This window comes from Homo sapiens, chromosome 12, assembly GCF_000001405.40.
Source record: "Homo sapiens chromosome 12, GRCh38.p14 Primary Assembly".
Lineage (NCBI taxonomy): Eukaryota > Metazoa > Chordata > Mammalia > Primates > Hominidae > Homo > Homo sapiens.
In genome coordinates, this window is record NC_000012.12 from 77,106,263 (window position 1) to 77,123,374 (window position 17,112).

Here is a 17,112-nt window from a genome sequence, read left to right on the forward strand (position 1 = left end):
AAGTACATTAAAAAATGTTCAACATCACTAATTATTAGGGAAATGCAAATTAAAACCACAACGAAATATCACCTTATACCTAGCTATAGATTAGCTATTATCGTAGATTAGTTATTATCATAAAGATAAAAGATAAGTATTAGCAAGGATGTAGAGAAAAGGGAACCCTGGTATACTGCTGTTGGGGATATATCATCTAGCCATTATGAAAAATAGTATGGAAGTTCCTCAAAAAATTAAAATAGAATTACCTATATGATCCAGTGATCCCACTATAGGGTATATATCCAAAGGAAAAGAATTCAGAATGACAAAGAGATATCTGCACTCCAACATTCACTGCAGCAGTATTCACCTTGGCTAAACATACAGAATCAACCTAAGTGTTCATTGACACATAAATGGAAATGGAAAAAGAAAATATGGTATATGTACACAACCAATATTATTGAGCCTTTAAAAAGATAAAAATCTCCTAATTTGTAACAACATGGATGAATCTTGAGGATATTATGTTAAGTAAAATAAGCCAGGCTCAGGAAGACAAATACTGCATGACCTCGCTTATGTATGAAATCTAAAAAACAACAAACTCATAGAAGGAGAGAGTAGAACGGTGGTTACCAGGAGCTGAGGTGGGGTAGTGGGGTGGGATTAGAGAGATGTTTGACCAAAGGGTACAAAATTTCAGTTAGATGGAACAGTAGGTTCAAGAAATCCATTGTACAATATAATGACTACAGTTAATAACAATGTATTTTATACTTGAAAATTGCAAGGAGAGATTTTAATTGTTCTCACAACAAAAAAATAAGTATTTGAGGTAATACATATGTTAGCTTGAGTCCACTATTCTAGTGTATACATATTTCAAAACTCAATGTTGTACACCATAAGTATATATAATTTTGTGAATTAAAAATAAAATAAAATGTGACATTCAAAAAAACAAAACAAAAACAAAAACAAAAACTTCAAGAGAGGCCTATAAAGAAGGGGAAGGAGAAGGAGTTGAGTGAGCAGCCTTACAGTGGCTGTGTGGCAGCCAACAGCCCTGGCGGTGGGATATAGGAATAGAATCAGAAAAGCAGTCAAGATTTAACTAAAGACCCAGGTGTGGAGACGCTCAGGTGGAGATAAATTCACCTCTGATGGGGTGGCATTTGTTGGGAGAGGAGGAAGGGAAGGAATTTATATGAATCTTAGGAATATTGTGTGAGAATATGTGAAGGAAGCTGTAGGGAAAATGGCAAGGTAAGTACAGTATGTGAAACGGTAATTGGTGGAGGGTATAAAGCAGCATTATGAGAGGCTCTTGAAGGGAGTAATTGTGTTAAGGCACTTGATAGCTACAACCCATCATCTGCTAGAAGTAGGGTCGCTGTTGTGTTTACAACCAAGTAGAACAGTGCCATGAGTAGGCTAATAGAAGGGTGTCAGAAATGTATGCAAACTGCATTGAGGGGGAGCCCTCTTTCTCAGTTCCCATGTGAGAGGAGGGAATGAGCTAGAGTAAATTGTTTCAATAAACATCACTTTATTTATGATGCTGGTCCTGGCAACTCAGAGGTAGCAGTGCACACCCTTCAGTACTGCATCTTACCAAAGGACTGAGCTAGTCAGGAAAATAGATTTCATATGAGGTATTAACTCCTGTTACATACTCAGGCTGTGACTTACACAACAAGCTCTGTCTTAGGGGAACTGTACGCTGTTTAGCAGGGAAGATCTCTTGGAGCAAAAGCTTTTGCTGAAATCTCTTGAATCATGAAACTATTTCTTTCCACTTAAAGGCATATTGATCTCTCTCTTCCTTTCCACCATGGGAGAAGAGAAAATAAAAGGAAGTCGATGTTTCTAGCTTATTGAATATCTACTGACACTAACAATCACATCAAGAGCTAACATGTACTGAACACTCATATGTTGAGGCACTGGTCTCAGTGCTTTAGTTTATTATTTTCTTTTATTTATTTAATCCTTGAAACAACTCCATAAGGTAGGTATAATTCACCATTACCAGGACATGTCTCCTTCCAAGGCAGTGGAAAATCTTACATATCAACTCAGGGAAGATGGGGGTTGAGCAGGCCACACTGCTTCTGTGGTGCCTTTGGAGATCTAGGGAAGACTGCATTACTTAGAGCCTTGGTGTACTCATCTGTAAATTGCAGATATAATAGCTATCTTGAGGAGTTATTTTGAGAATTAGAGATCATATTATATAAAGGGTCTAACACAGTGGCCAACACAGAGAAAGTACCCAATGAAAGGGAATTAATGTCATATACTTTCTGACTAAACTCTTTTCTATGCTCATATCTTAAAGTCAGAATAAAATTAATCATCACTTTTCCTTTTCCACACCCTGCTTTAAAAAAAATCTGTAGAAAAGGGAGTTCTGAAGCAGATCATAAGAGCAGCTCATAATGAAAATGAGCTGACAGAGTTCTTTCCTCTGGCTAATATATTTAAGCCACTTCTATTAAATAATATCCAGATTTCTAGCCCAAAGAGGTAATATTATAAACAAGATCTCAGTTTTCCATAAGTCCGTATCTGAATGTCCAGTAGAGACTGAATTAGAAAGAAAAGTTCCAGGAATCCAGGACTAAACCAGATTATTTTAAGTTAATATTTGACCTTCCAAGGGGCAGGGCAAACCACAAGTAAAAGAGATCAAGCCACAGGTGGTCCTGATGACATATTTCCCTAACTAAACTTGAATAATCTTAGTAGAATGAAGTGATATAGGCTGGCTTTTGATCACTTCAGATGGTCAAAGTTTATTTGGGTGCTTTTAGCAAAACAAATGGCAGAAGTGAGAAACACTGACATATGGTGGAAATGGTTCATGAAAAAACTGATAACACTACTAATTTCTGTCATTAGCATCCTGGGGAAGCTACAGAATTATTCAAGGCTTGGTCTTAATTATCTTCTAATGAAGATTTGATTTAATTTGCTCTTTGTAATCTCTCATTCTTATTTTTCTTTCCATACCTTTGCCTTGTTTTTTAATTTCAGAGTGTTAAAATACTCCATGCTTAGTGTTCTCAGTTCAGCAGCTGAGCTCTTCAGAGGAAGTTCTGTATCAATCAAATATTCCATGCTTAATGTTCTCAGTTCAGCAGCTGAGCTCTTCAGAGGAAGTCCTATATCAATCTTACAAGTACCGTAGCTACTTATGAGGGGACCCGCGTTACTGCAGCTAGTCATATTTTTATGTGCTACCTCTACTCAAGGAAAGGAATGAGGGAGGGGTTCAGAGAGAAGCAATGTGGAATCCACTTCTATAACTCTGTCCAAATACTGCTCTGTCAGTTTGCTTTAGCTTTGTTAAAAAAATAACTTTTAGGCTTTCTTTGTATTTGTTAAATTAAAATTTTCTTTCTTTTTTCTTTTTCTTTTTGAGACAGAGTGGTGCTCTGCTGCCCAGGCTGGAGAGCAGTGGTGCGATCTCGGCTTAGTGCCACCTCCACACCTTGGGTTCAAGAGATTCTCCTACCTCAGACTCCTGAGTAGCTGAGATTACAGGCATGCGCCACCACGCCTGGCTAATTTTTTATATATTCAGTAGAGATGGGGTTTCACCATGTTGGCCAGGCTGGTCTTGAACTCCTGGCCTCAAGTGATCCACCCAACTCGGCCTCCCAAAATGTTGGGATTACAGGCATGAGCCACTGCACCTGGCCTAACATTTTCTTTATGTAAAAGTACTACATTCACATTGTTCAGAGAGTCAAACAGTTCTATGAGGGTCATTAAAATAAACACCAGCCACTAATGCCTCCCACATTGCTCATTACCCAGAGATAAGCACTTTTGTCTATATTTAGATGTTTTCATTGATGCTTGATATCTGGATATCTTTAAATAACTTTAATGTATTGCTATTTCTTGCTTTTTCAGTTTTAGCCCTTATTTACTGCTTTCCTACAATGAAAGGTAACAGTTTAGCTCTTTCACTTGCCTCCCTGTCCACCCCAAATGCACGCATGTACTTCCCATCCATCCATTCTGTCATCCGCTCAATATAGTTTTATGATATTTAAACATTTGTTTGGATCTATATTTAGCATTTAAATAAGTATCCCTATACAAATGCTGGTTATACTTGAGTAATGTGTTATACTCTATGATTATTTTTTTCTTACTTGGTGATATGGTTTGGCTGTGTCCCCACCCAAATCTCATCTTGAATTGTAGCTCCCATAATCCCCACATGTCACGGGAGGGACCCAGTGGGAGGTAATTGAATCATAGGGGTGGGTTTTCCCATGCTGTTCTCATGAAAGTGAATAAATCTCATGATATCTGATGGTTTTATAAAGGGCAGTTCCCCTGCACACACTTTCTGTCTGCTGCCATGTAAGATGTGCCTCTGCTCCTCCTTCACCTTCTGCCATGATTGTGAGGCCTCCTCAGCCATGTGGAACTGTGAGTCCATTAAACATCTTTTTCTTTATAAGTTACCCCGTCTAGGGTATTTCTTCATAGCAGTATGAAAATGGACTAAGACACCTGGCAATACTTTGGTTTTGGGGGATTAACAGTGATCTTTCTTGATGATAATTATTTTTATGTATTTACCACAAATTCAACCCCAACCATCCCCCCACCCCCATTGTCTAAACCTTTTATTAACACAAGAAATATTCTATCAGTTTCATCTTTTGGAGATGACTTTCCTGAAAACTTCTAATTCACTCAATTTACATGGCAACTTTCAAGACCTGTTGCAGAGCTATCCCCTAGGTTCTCATCCTGGAAGTTTCTTCTCTTTCTTTCTTGTGTTAGAATCTTTGTTTCTTCAGTTCTGAGTCTTTCTCTTCATTTACTTCCCCATTTTAGTGGACCACATTCTTCAGGAGCCTCTGGAGAATGAAAGATGGGAGGTAAATTTTTTGATACTTGTATACCTTTAAGTGTATTTATCCCATCTTCACATTTAATTGATAGTTTTGCTGGATATGAAATTCTAGGTGGCAAATCATTTTCCCTCACAAGTTTAAAGTCATTGCTCTGTTGTTATTTTATAGCTTCAACTGTTGTTGATAAGAAACCAAAATGCCATCATTATTTTGGATTGTGCGTAAAACCTATTCTTTCTGGAATTTTTTTTTTGTGTGTGTCTGCTCTTCTTTCTTATGTCCTGAAGTGTTACAATAATGTGCAGTAATGTGGGGCTGTTTTCATCCATTGTGCTCAGCATTCACTCTGGAAACCTGTCTTCAGTTATGTTCACATTTTTCAAACTTGGTTTTAATTTTATCCCTCAACATGATCTTTTGAAACATGTCTATTACACCGCAATTGGATTTCCTAAGTTAATCATCTGATTTTCTTATTTTTGTTCTACTACTTACTACTTCTGTCCTTTTCCTACTTTCTGAGGGGCTTCCTTATTATTTCTTCTGTGTGTGTGTGTGTGTGTGTGTGTGTTTTGAGACAGCATCTTGCTCTGTCACCCAGGCTGGAGTGCAGTGGTGCCAACCTGGCTTACTACAGCCTTGACTTCCTGGACTCAAGTGATCCTCCTGCCTTAGCTTCCTGAGTAGCTGGGACCACAGTAGTGCACCGCCGTGCCTGGCTAATTTTTTATTTTTTATTTTGTAGAGAGAGGGTCTTGACATATTGCTCAGGCTGGCCTCAAACTTCTAGGCTCAAGCAATCCTCCTGCCTGGGCCTCCCAAACTGTTGGGATTACAAGCTTGAGCTACTGTGCCTGGCAATTATTTCTTTTAGTCTTTCTGCTATTTTAAATTTCTACAATCATCTTTTAAATTTTTAAACATCAATTTTATAGAGGTATAATTTATACAAACAAAACACACTTATTTAAGGGTACAGCTTAATAAGGTTTGACCATGTATACTCAATCAATACATGGACATTTCAATTACACCAGAATGTTTCCTCATGTTCCTTTGCAGGGTTTTATTGTACATCTTTTTTATCTGTTTACTTTAAACCTATCTATTTTTATATTTAAAGTGGCTCCTTGTACATAGCATATAGTTGTGTTTTTATTCTTTATGCAGACTGACAACCTCTGCCTTTTAATTGGCATGTTTAGATCATTTCATTTAATGTAATTATTTATCTGGTTGGATTTAAATAGACCATCCATTATGCCATTGGTTTTCTATTTGTCCATCTAATAATTGTTCATTTTTCCTATTTTTCTACCTTCTTTTGGATTAATTGAATTTTTTTTTACTGTTCAATTTTGTTTTTACTCTTGGTTTATTCACTATAATTCTATTACCATCTTTTAATTTCTTTCAAGAGATTCTTTTTGATTTCTGAGTATTCGTTTTTACGCCATCCTATTTTTGTCTCATAGGTACATTTTTCTATAAAAAATATTAATACATTTTTGAGGTTTTCTTTCCATTGCACAGTCTTTCCAAGTTTCTTGCCTCTGTCTATTTGTCTTCCTTAACAAATTTTTGTAAACATTCCTGGTATACAACATGATGTTTTGAAATATGTGTACATTGTGGAATGGCTAAATCAAGCTAATCAATATATGCATTACCTCACAAAAGTATCAGCTATTTGTGGCAAGAATATTTAAAATCTACTTTTTAAGCAATTTTCAAGTATACATTATTATTAACTATAGTTACCATCGTACAATAGATCTCTTGAACTTATTCCTCCTCTCTAACTGAAATTTTATATCCTTTAACTTACATATCCTCATTTCCCCTCTTGTTACTTCCTACCTCTTCCATGAGTTTGACTTTTATAGATTTCATATATAAGTAAGATAATGCAGTATTTGTCTTTCTGTGCTTGGCTTATTTAACTGAACATAATGTCCTCCAGGTTCATTAATGTTGTTACAAATAAGAAGATTTTCTATTTTTAAGGCTGAATAGTATTCCAGTGTGTATGTACAGCCGATTATCTATATCCACAAGTTCTGCATCTGCAAATTCAACCAACTTTGGAATAAAAAGATTTTTAAAAATGACAGCAGTAGAAAACAGAAACAAAAAACGATACTATATAACAGCTATTTACATAGCATTTACATTGTATTAGGTATTACAGGTAATCTAGAGAGTTTTTTTTTTGTTTGTTTGTTTGTTTTGAAACGGAGTCTCGCTCTGTCGCCCGGGCTGGAGTGCAGTGGCGCGATCTCCGCTCACTGCAAGCTCCGCCTCCCGGGTTCACGCCATTCTCCTGCCTCAGCCTCCAGAGTAGCTGGGAGTACAGGCGCCCACCGCCATGCCCGGCTAATTTTTTGTATTTTTTAGTAGAGACGGGGTTTCACCGTGTTAGCCAGAATGGTCTGGATTTCCTGACCTCGTGATCCGCCCACCTCGGCCTCCCAAAGTGCTGGGATTACAGGCGTGAGCCACCGCGCCCGGACTAGAGATGATTTAAAGTATATGGAAGGTTATGTGTAGGTTATATGCAAATACTATGCTATTTTATATAAGGAACTTGATAATCTGAGGATTTGATATCCTTGAGGTATTTGAGAGACAATTATATATTATATTTTCTTTATTAATTTATCTATTGATAGACACTGAGTTTGATTCTGTATCTTGGGTATCATGAATAACACTGCAATGAACACAGGAGTACAGATATCTCTTCAATATCCTGATTTCATTTCCTTTTGATATATACCCAAGAGTAGAATTGCTGAATCATATGATAGTTCTATTTTTAAATCTTAGTCTCCTAAGAGACTTTCCTCAATGTTTCATGGCATACCATAAGGGATTCCAGTTTAGATATTGACCTACCAACCAAATTGAATCCTTTCTCTTTTGGAGTTTATAAGGTAAGGCACACAGCAGGAGAACAATTAGGCAGCAGTAGGACAGCCACATTGAAGAGAGGCTGGGACAAAGGGAAGCTGAGTCACAAGAATGAGTCAACAGCTCATGACCATTTCAGGGGATGACAAACAGATGCTATGGGGTCTCTGGGACTGTGGATGTCTGTCGTTTTCTGAATGGGGATAAATTACTTACCAGGTCCATGAAGGCGAACTGAGCGACTACTGAAATAAGTTTCTGGGTTGTCCATTTCCTTGTACATCCTTGCAACCAATTCCTACTACACGGTTAAACTGATAATACTTGTGTCTTGTAACCTAAAGGATTGTATTAGGACTGTATGTATCCTGAAGGAACCCCTTTAGGGTTCTCTAGAGAGACAGAACTAGTAGGATAGATATATATGTATAAAGAGGAGTTTATTAAGTATTAACTCACATAATCACAAGGTCCCACAATAGACCATTTCCAAGCTGACGAACAAGGAGAGCCAGTTCCAGTCTCAAAACTGAAGAACTTGGAGTCTGATGTTCAAGGGCAGGAAACATCCAGTATGGGAGAAAGATGTAGGCTGGGGGGCTGGGCCAGTTTAGTCTTTTCACATTTTTCTGCCTGCTTTATATTCTAGCCGTGCTGGCAGCTGATTAGATGGTGCCCACCCAGATTAAGAGTGGGTCTGCCTTTCCCAGCCCACTGACTCAAATGTTAGTCTCCTTTGGCAACACCCTCACAGACACACCCAGGATCAATACTTTGTATCCTTCAATCCAATCAATTTGACCCTCAGTATTAACCATCACAAAGGCCTTAGCACACACAAACAATACAAAGTTGAATTAGAAGAAATAATTAATATAAAGTTAAAATCTGCAGGCTATAGATTTTTGGCTAACAGTTTCACAAAATTCCCATTTTCTCTGGGTGCCTGTAAGGCATATAGACACTAAGAGTGTGTACTCTGTGAGGAATGCTATGTGGATTTGAATCCTGGTTGTGTGACCTGAGCTTCTCTGAGCTATATTTCCTCATCTGCAGGGATAATAATCAAAGATAGTTCCAGAATTTCTTTTTAGAAGAGGCTTGTGCTGGCAATCTGGCTGAAAGGGGAGCTTTACACTGAGCTTGCATAGCACTTTTCAAAAATGTCAATTGTCCACATCAAAGAGTCAGGAATGGGTAATGGTGATTGTTGGTGTGTGTTATGCGTATGTTAAAGACACCTGGTTGTACCATCATTCATAATAACAACACTGGTTTCTTATGAAGGCTAAATTAAATCATATATTTAAAAAGTTTAATATAATGACGAGCAATAAAGTATCCTATACATTATTAATGATAGTATTAAATTGTTATAATAGTTTTATTATCAAGCAAATGAATGAATGAGTTATGACTAGGAAGAGCAAGAATGTCTTGAAGTAAGAGGTAGAAGCATGTTCTGGTGTTTCTACATTGGTTCTTACCAACAGGCTTAATAAACATCTAGTACAAATCTAGAATTGAATGAGTATTAGTTTGTTTGCTGTACTAAATCGTATCTCTTTAACTCTCCAGAGAACTCCTCCTCTGTGGTCACTGCCTGTGTTGAAACTATCTGCTCACTGGATCTTTGCTCTATTACTGTGTCATGCCCTCTTACAACTGCATTTCTAGGGGACTGTCTTTATAGTGTGTACAATGATTTGCTCCCCAAAGATGCTGCTTCTGATTTTTATATTTTTGTCCTGACAGTCAATTCAGTTTCAGCTCCTGATGGCCAGGCACCCTATTGTTTTTCCTGGATTGTTTCCTGCATCAAGTCTTTATTTACTTTGCAAATCTCATATACCTATAGGATAGGGCTGAGACAAGGCACACGGAAACAACCCCCAATGTAGATACAAAAGGTATAGTAAAATTATACTGTTAATCAAATCTTATAAAATGTATTTCTCTTATTTTTGCTCTTTCAGAACCTCCCATGAATTATCATCTAAGTTGAGACATAGTTTTAGGAAGCCATTGTTGCTGAGGCTTGAAGAATTAATGCTCTTTGAGGCAGAATGGGGGCATCTATTTGCCTGCTCCAACTGTTTAAGATAACTCAGCATTCCCATGCACACACATATAGAACTAAATTTGCTTTGATGATATCTCCTTTTTCATCACTGTCATGCTTGCTTCTACTTACATTACTTACTGCTTTTTCATGCTAGATTTGGTGTTGCTTTGGTTTGGCTTTTCTGAACAGGTTTCAGCTTGATTTGTCCCTTTATCTCCATGCGGCCCTTAAGTGCAACTCCGTTGTCCACAGCTTTGACTTGTGGTCTTTAGGAGGGACCTCTCCCTTTGACCCTTCAGTGATTCATCCATCCTTCCTTGGTCATGGGTTGGAAGTTGGGGAGTTGGATATTCTCCAGCTTTTAAGGACTTTGGCTATCATCAGGATGGCCAGCTCTCAACATTTATTTCTATTAACACACAGGAAGGATGACTTTCACATAAACAACACATTCCCACTGGTGTAGCTGGGTTTACTAAAACTCCTACCACACTAGAAATATCTTTAGTCTTTTTCTCCAACCCAAGAATGCAACTAGAAGTGTTAGCAAGAATGGCATTATTAGTAGGATATCTTTAAGTTGACTGTGATTTATAAACATCATTACTTTATAATACAAAATAATACTTCAGATGTACTTCAAAATTGGATAATAAGACACTTCAGTTATTTTTAAGCTTTTTATTTTTAAAGCAGTGGAATTCTTTTTTATCAGGGGCCTTTAACTAAGAAGCCCAACATATAAAAAAAATTGAGAAAATTTCACTGATTGGATTAGGATGGGGTCCAGAACTTGATTCCTTCAGTGTTCTGTGAACCCTAAAGCCCCTCAGTAAAATCCTTTGGGCTTTGCACTGCACAATTTGAAAACTCAGTGGGCTTGCTTACATTGTAAATAGCAAGCAATGATTCCGTGGAGTTGGAACCACTGAACTGTGACAGCATAGTACCATTTGGAATATTGGAACTGAACTTTAGTGCACTGCCCTATTCCATCATTACCATGTTTCTCCTGGCCATTTGGTAATTTTCAGACTCTTCTTGTGACTCATGAAAATGACCTAGGAGACAAGGATGCCTGGACTCCTGCCCTCTCCTAGGCTCTCAATGCCATCTCATCTTCATCCAACTCACCCTCTTCGCCTGGCTCTTGTTTTATTGAGTGCCATCTGTCCACTTTGCCGTGCCCTCTGGAACCCTCTTTCATTGTCAATATACTCCATTATCTACTCCACACCAAGTTTTGCTCTTTTCTGTATGTTTCCTTATCTTAGTTAATGACAACACCATCTTCCCCCTGCTCTCTAAGTCATCATCCCTGATTACTCCCTCTCAAGTACCCTCCACTTCAAATTAGTCACCAATTCCTATGAATTCTAGTTCTGAAGTGTCTCACAAATCTGACACCATCATCGGTCCTCTAAGCTGTTAAAATAACTCCTTGAACACACACCTTTGAATATAGTCTGTACTTTAAAAAGTTTTCTGAATGCAGTGCTTATTAGTTTTAATCTTTCCCAAATGTCTGTGCCATCATTCTTGGCTTCACCCCTGCTTGTTTATATTCTTCCTGGTTTTAATCTCATATTTGGATAAAGATATTTAAGATGTTTTTCTATGCAATGTTTATAGTGGGCTGTCTTTTGAAAGACCAATAGTCATAGCCTTAAGGTAAGATTTATATATATATATATATATATATATGTATGTATATAATACATTTTAGCAATTTTACTTACTTTTATTTTCTTTTTTATTATATATATTTTTATTATACTTTAAGTTCTAGGGTACATGTGCACAATGTGCAGGTTTGTTACATATGTATACATGTGCCATGTTGGTGTGCTGTATCCATTAACTCGTCATTTACATTAGGTATATCTCCACTTACTTTTATTTTCTAGAGAAGAAGTTCTCAACCTTGGTTTTATTTTGATCAGGTATTTTGGAGATCAAAATACCAGGGAGAAGTAAAATAATAGCATGCTTGGAAGCGTGCATGACTCAAAGTCATTTTTACATTGCAGTTGGTCAAAAATCTGAGTTTTCTCAAGGGAGGGTGACATGTTTGATAACATCATCTGATGTGTGTAACTTAAATCTCCCAGTGTCTCAGTTTCCTCATTTGTAAAGTGGATATCTTAATGTAATCCAGATCAATGATACCCAGATTATAGGAAGGCAAAGTTAATTGTATGATTAATGCAGAATTCCTAGCACAGGGTGTTACTCAAAATGAACTTTCAATGACTAGGAGGCATTACAATCAATTCAGAGGAGAGACGTCAGGAAATTTTACAGCTTATAGGTCTTACCTGACCCAGAGATGTACTAAGTTTTGATTGTACTGTGTTTTTTATTCTTTTAAGGTGAATTGGTTACCAACATTAACAAACTGGGGGGATATTATATAAAATACATATTTTAGTTTTCTTTTGAAACACTTGAAGATGTGGTAATACTAACTGATAGTGGTCAAGAACTCTATAAAGTTAATCCTAGTCACTGCTCTATCTATTACTTTATACCAAAGGTGCGTTATTCTTTCACTACCAGTCTGTTTCCACCTCCTGGTCTGAATAATTTTGGTGGATCTGTCCTGTTACTTTAGGGATTAATACATTTGATTTAAATTACATCAACTTTTGCAAATGATAGTACTCTCTCTTCAAAGAGCAAGCATGAGTCATGCTCTTCTGATGGCCTTTCTGATGTAGTTTAAAGAGTTACAAAGCTGTTCATATTCGGTAAACACCTCCCATTTGAAAAACTGTGGTAGGCATGAGTGTCTCCTTGAGAAACACCCTGTTGTTTCTCTCAGGGATTTTGTTATCTAGTAAGAAGGAAAATACAAGGACACGTGTAATCATACATCAGGGAATAATGTGGTTATGTCCAATAATAGAAATACAGAGAGCTGTTGTGCCACAGAGAGAAAAAGTGTATTTGGATGAAATCTGGGAAAGAACAGTGCAGTCTTCATGAAGAGTTTCATTTATTCAGCAAATGCATTTAGCGACATTACACAGAGGAATAAGTGGTGTGTATTGGGCATACAGAACATGCTCTTAAAGGACAGGGAGTCTAATTGGGGAGAGATGAGCAAGTGAGACCAGCAAAGTATTATAGGGAAAGACTACAACGGAAATGGATAACAAATAGTTTAGTGCAGTGATTGATTCTACCTGAAGTTAGAGACATGGGGAAATTTATCTTGGGGGACTCCAAAGAGGATATAACTCTCACATTTGGAATTTAAATGGTGAGCAAGCGCTCAGGTAATGAAGAGGAGATAAGAGTGAGTTTTAGGTAGATTAAGCCAAAGAAAGTAAGATATGTTAATTGAATTTTAAAGAAAAGATAGGGTTTTAATAGTTATACATGGAAATTTGGTGTATTAGGTAGAGAGAAGAGCCATAATTAAGGCATGTGGTTTAGGGCATATTCAAGATTGATCAATAACTCTCTTTGACCCCATCAGAGTGTAGTGAGAGTTTAGAGTAGAAAGAAAGGTGGGTTTTAGATTATGGAAGGCCGTGGGAGCCAAAGCAAAAAGTTTAACTTTAGGAAATGGGGCGTGCCAGAATGTTCTTGAATGTGGAAAGACAGGCCCAAGGCTAAACTGTAAGAGGAGAATTCTGGTGACAAATGTGGGTGCGGGTGGATCATAGTGAGGAGAGACTGGTGTGTGTGTGGGAAGGGGAGGTGAGATTAACTGGACTCGAGACTGCTGAGTCTCTTAAGGATTATTGAAGATTTTGGGGGGGCAATGCCCAGATGTTGCCATAACCTTATCTTTTGTTTTAAAATGAAAGTATTATGTAAACAGAGAGGAGAATAAAAATATTATGTAAAAAGAGAGGAAAACTACACAAATAAACGTTGTACTGGGCACTGTACTGTTTGATTTTTCCAGGAGACCACTGTTGCTGAAAAGCCTTGTTTATTGTGAGGAGGAGGGGAGAAACTGGGGTGAGAAACGTTGCTACCTGTTGCAGCAGCTACCTGATCACCCAAGAGATTTGCATAATTTCTTCCTCCCACTATATCCCATTCCAGCAGCCAATATCTTAACAAAAGGGAAGCTATTATGGAAGAAAATTTAATAAAAATATTCTCTAGGCATTTGTTTGCACTATCTGTAGTCAACATTTTATGGATCCTGACTCATTCAATCCCCATAACAACACTGTGTGGTAGATTATTTATTCCATTTTACAGTTGAAATAACCAGGACTTTGAGAGGGGAAGTGACACATGCAAGGTCATGTAATGAGTAAGTGGCAGGGCTGAGATCTGAACCCAGAAATATCCAGATTCAAAGCCCATTATTTCTCCAACAAATCCATCCTATTATTCTGCATTTTTGTATTATTTTAGAAAATGCTCTTATAAAATATTATCGTTGATATATGTCTCCCAAGTTGATATCACACATCTCAAATTTGTACATTAAGGAAAGAAGCAAATTAAGGAAATTCAGATAAACAGAATACATTCCTTTCCAATTTTGTTCATGCAAGCTTAACTTTTACATACTGAAAAGCCTACTATTACAAAATTAGGCAACCACAAATGTAAATGTTATTTAGTTTTTTTCTTATACTTATTAGACTGATTGTAAGAGTTGATCTCACCTAAGATTAGAAAATAGTTTTGTACATCACCTCCACAGGAATATAAAAAATTAAACTGATAAATTTATGTGCCATTGTGAATTCTTTATGACTGAGTTGTCAATTGCTTTCTTTAGGCAATGAGCCAATGTTTATGAAGTAGCTACAATGGGCAGAGGGCTTTGCCAGGATCTGTGGAAAGTTTCAAAAGATGCAGCTGTAGACATGATTTTCATCACAAGAGAGTTATGATCTAACAAAGAAGATGGACAAAATATATAAAATAGGGGAGAACATGAGCACATATAGAACTACATCTCTATGACATGAGATCATGTATGCATTACTAGAAAACAATGATGACTATAACAGTGATAGATACATGTCTAGGGACTACAAAAATGGCCAGAATTAAGCAGGAGTGCTTCTCATAGACTGAATATGATAAAGTAGTCAATTCTGAGAAAAATTTGGCAGAAATTTTATAAAATTAGAAACAAAAGGAGTCTGTAGAATTCAAATACTTTTTAGACTTTTAATCTTTCCAAGTTGTGCAGTCTGTGACTAATAAGTGATATAAAATAGAAAAACTTCAAACAAATTTAGCATGCAATGTTTTACATTCTCAGTAGAGCTTATAAACTTCATTCGTTTTCAAAGTTGCTCAAATTTAAACAGAAGATAACTGGAAAGCTAGTGGGTAAAAATGAAACAGTACACAGAGTCATCAAAACAAATATATATGATATTATGATAAAAGTTGCTCATATTAATTCATGATAACATTCATTAATTTAGATTTAACAGTAAAATAAGGTATTATATTGAAGTTATGATTCAGTGAAAAATCCACTGAAGTAGCAACTATTCTCTGGGTCTTCCAGTTTTGAATATAGTTGTCAATAATTATTGATTAAGAATAATAGTCATATTCACAATAGTTTAATCTATATTAGTGATAGCCTATGGTTCACATTAGTCATGGAATGTGGCAGTTTTGAATTAGGGGTTTGAATTCTGAAAGTCCTTAGTTTCTGCCATTCTACTCTATGTATAACCAGAAAAACAATCCTTTATGCTCCTTGAGGAAAAGTATAATACAATGGCTCAAGAGCTGGATGAAAACAGAAGGAATTATGGTTTTATTTCTGACTTAGAACAGGATTAGCTCCTACTTTGAACAAATGTTGTATACAGTAGTCCCTCGTTATCTGTAGGGGATATGTTCCAAGATGCCTGAAATTGTGGATAGTAGTGAACCAGATTGCTGTCAATTGGAACAAATTTCTGTTTATGTCTTCTACCTACAGATTTAATGCCTTTTCTATTTTGCCTAAGCACTTATGCACTGTGGATATAATTTTTGCAGTTTGAGGTAGGACAGCAAAACTAGCATGAATTTCTTTTTCCTTCTTCACAGTTTGACAGATTTGTTCTTACCATAGATCTCAGCAACCTCAGTGTATGATTTTTTTCTTTACTTATTAAGTCAAGGGCTTTCACCTTTTCACTTAAAGGAAGCACTTTGCAGCTTCTCTTTGGCATATCCGAGTTGCCAGTATCACTACTTTTGCGCTTTGGGGCCATTATGAAGTCAAATAAAGATTATTTGAACACAAGCACTGACATACCACAACAGTTAACCTAATAACTGAGGCGGCTGCTCAGTGACTAACAGTCTGGTTGATTAGGCAGCAAGGATATGCTGGACAAAGGAATGATTCACGTCCCTACATGAGACAGAGCAGGATGGCCTGAGATTTCATCATACTACTCAGAATAGCACACAATTTTAAACTCATGAATTTTTCTTTCTAGAATTTTCTATGTAATATTTTTGTACTGCAGTTGACTGTGGGTAACTGAGACTGGAAAAAGTGAAACCACAGGTAAGGAGGGACTACTACATCTTTGAGCACTGATTTTTTTTTCATTTGTCCTTTCATTCATTCATGTTTTTATGAGGGTCTACAATGTGCTAGGTACTGTTATAAAGTGGATCAAAACAAAACTAGTCCTTGCCTTATTAGAACTTATATAATGGAGGGAAAAGAAGTAAATACTGATAAAGATGAAATTTCAGATTGTGAAAGATCTTTGAAAAAAAAGTAGGATGCTATGAGAGAGAACCAGGGGCTGGCAGTGAACCAGTTTTAGGTTATCTGGTTAGGAAAGTCTCTCTGAGGTAGTGACATTTGAGCAGGGACTTGAGCTGGCAATTTCAAGAGAAGAAAATGAGAAGGCCATGCCAGGCCCAGGAAACAACACTTACAGAGACCCTAGTGAAAGGATGTGGCAAGTATTAATATGAGGAACCTAGAGGAGGCTGATATGAGTGTAGCTTTGGAAATAAAGAGGAGAGTGGTCATGGGTTAGAATAAGTTTTGAGAAGCTAGATCAGCACAGGGCTTCTTACACCTTAGTCATGTTAAGGGCATTGGATTTTTATTGTAAGGACAGGGGACGCCTTTGAGTTTTAGTTGAGGAATGACAGGAGCCTCAGACTGTTGTATGGAGGGTGGATTGAAGGGAGACAAAAGGAATCAGGGAGAACAATGAAGAGAAAGAACTTTAATACATTGCCTAGTTGATAGATGATGGTAGTAGACTTTCCCACAGGGATGACAGTCTAAATGAACGG

The 17,112-nt window shown here is 37.0% G+C and overlaps 1 long non-coding RNA gene across 2 annotated transcripts in view; it reads left to right on the forward strand.

The window, feature by feature from the left end:
* Nucleotides 1-16,144: 16,144 nt before the first annotated feature.
* The window catches only part of LOC105369853 (uncharacterized), a 29,698-nt gene continuing 28,730 nt past the window's right edge, over nt 16,145-17,112 (forward strand). Inside the window, exon 1 of one of the 2 annotated variants that reach the window (XR_945118.2) lies at nt 16,145-16,360. This is a non-coding gene — a long non-coding RNA (uncharacterized LOC105369853). The remainder of the gene's footprint in view (nt 16,361-17,112) is intronic. The other variant, XR_945119.1, reaches the window with a different exon arrangement.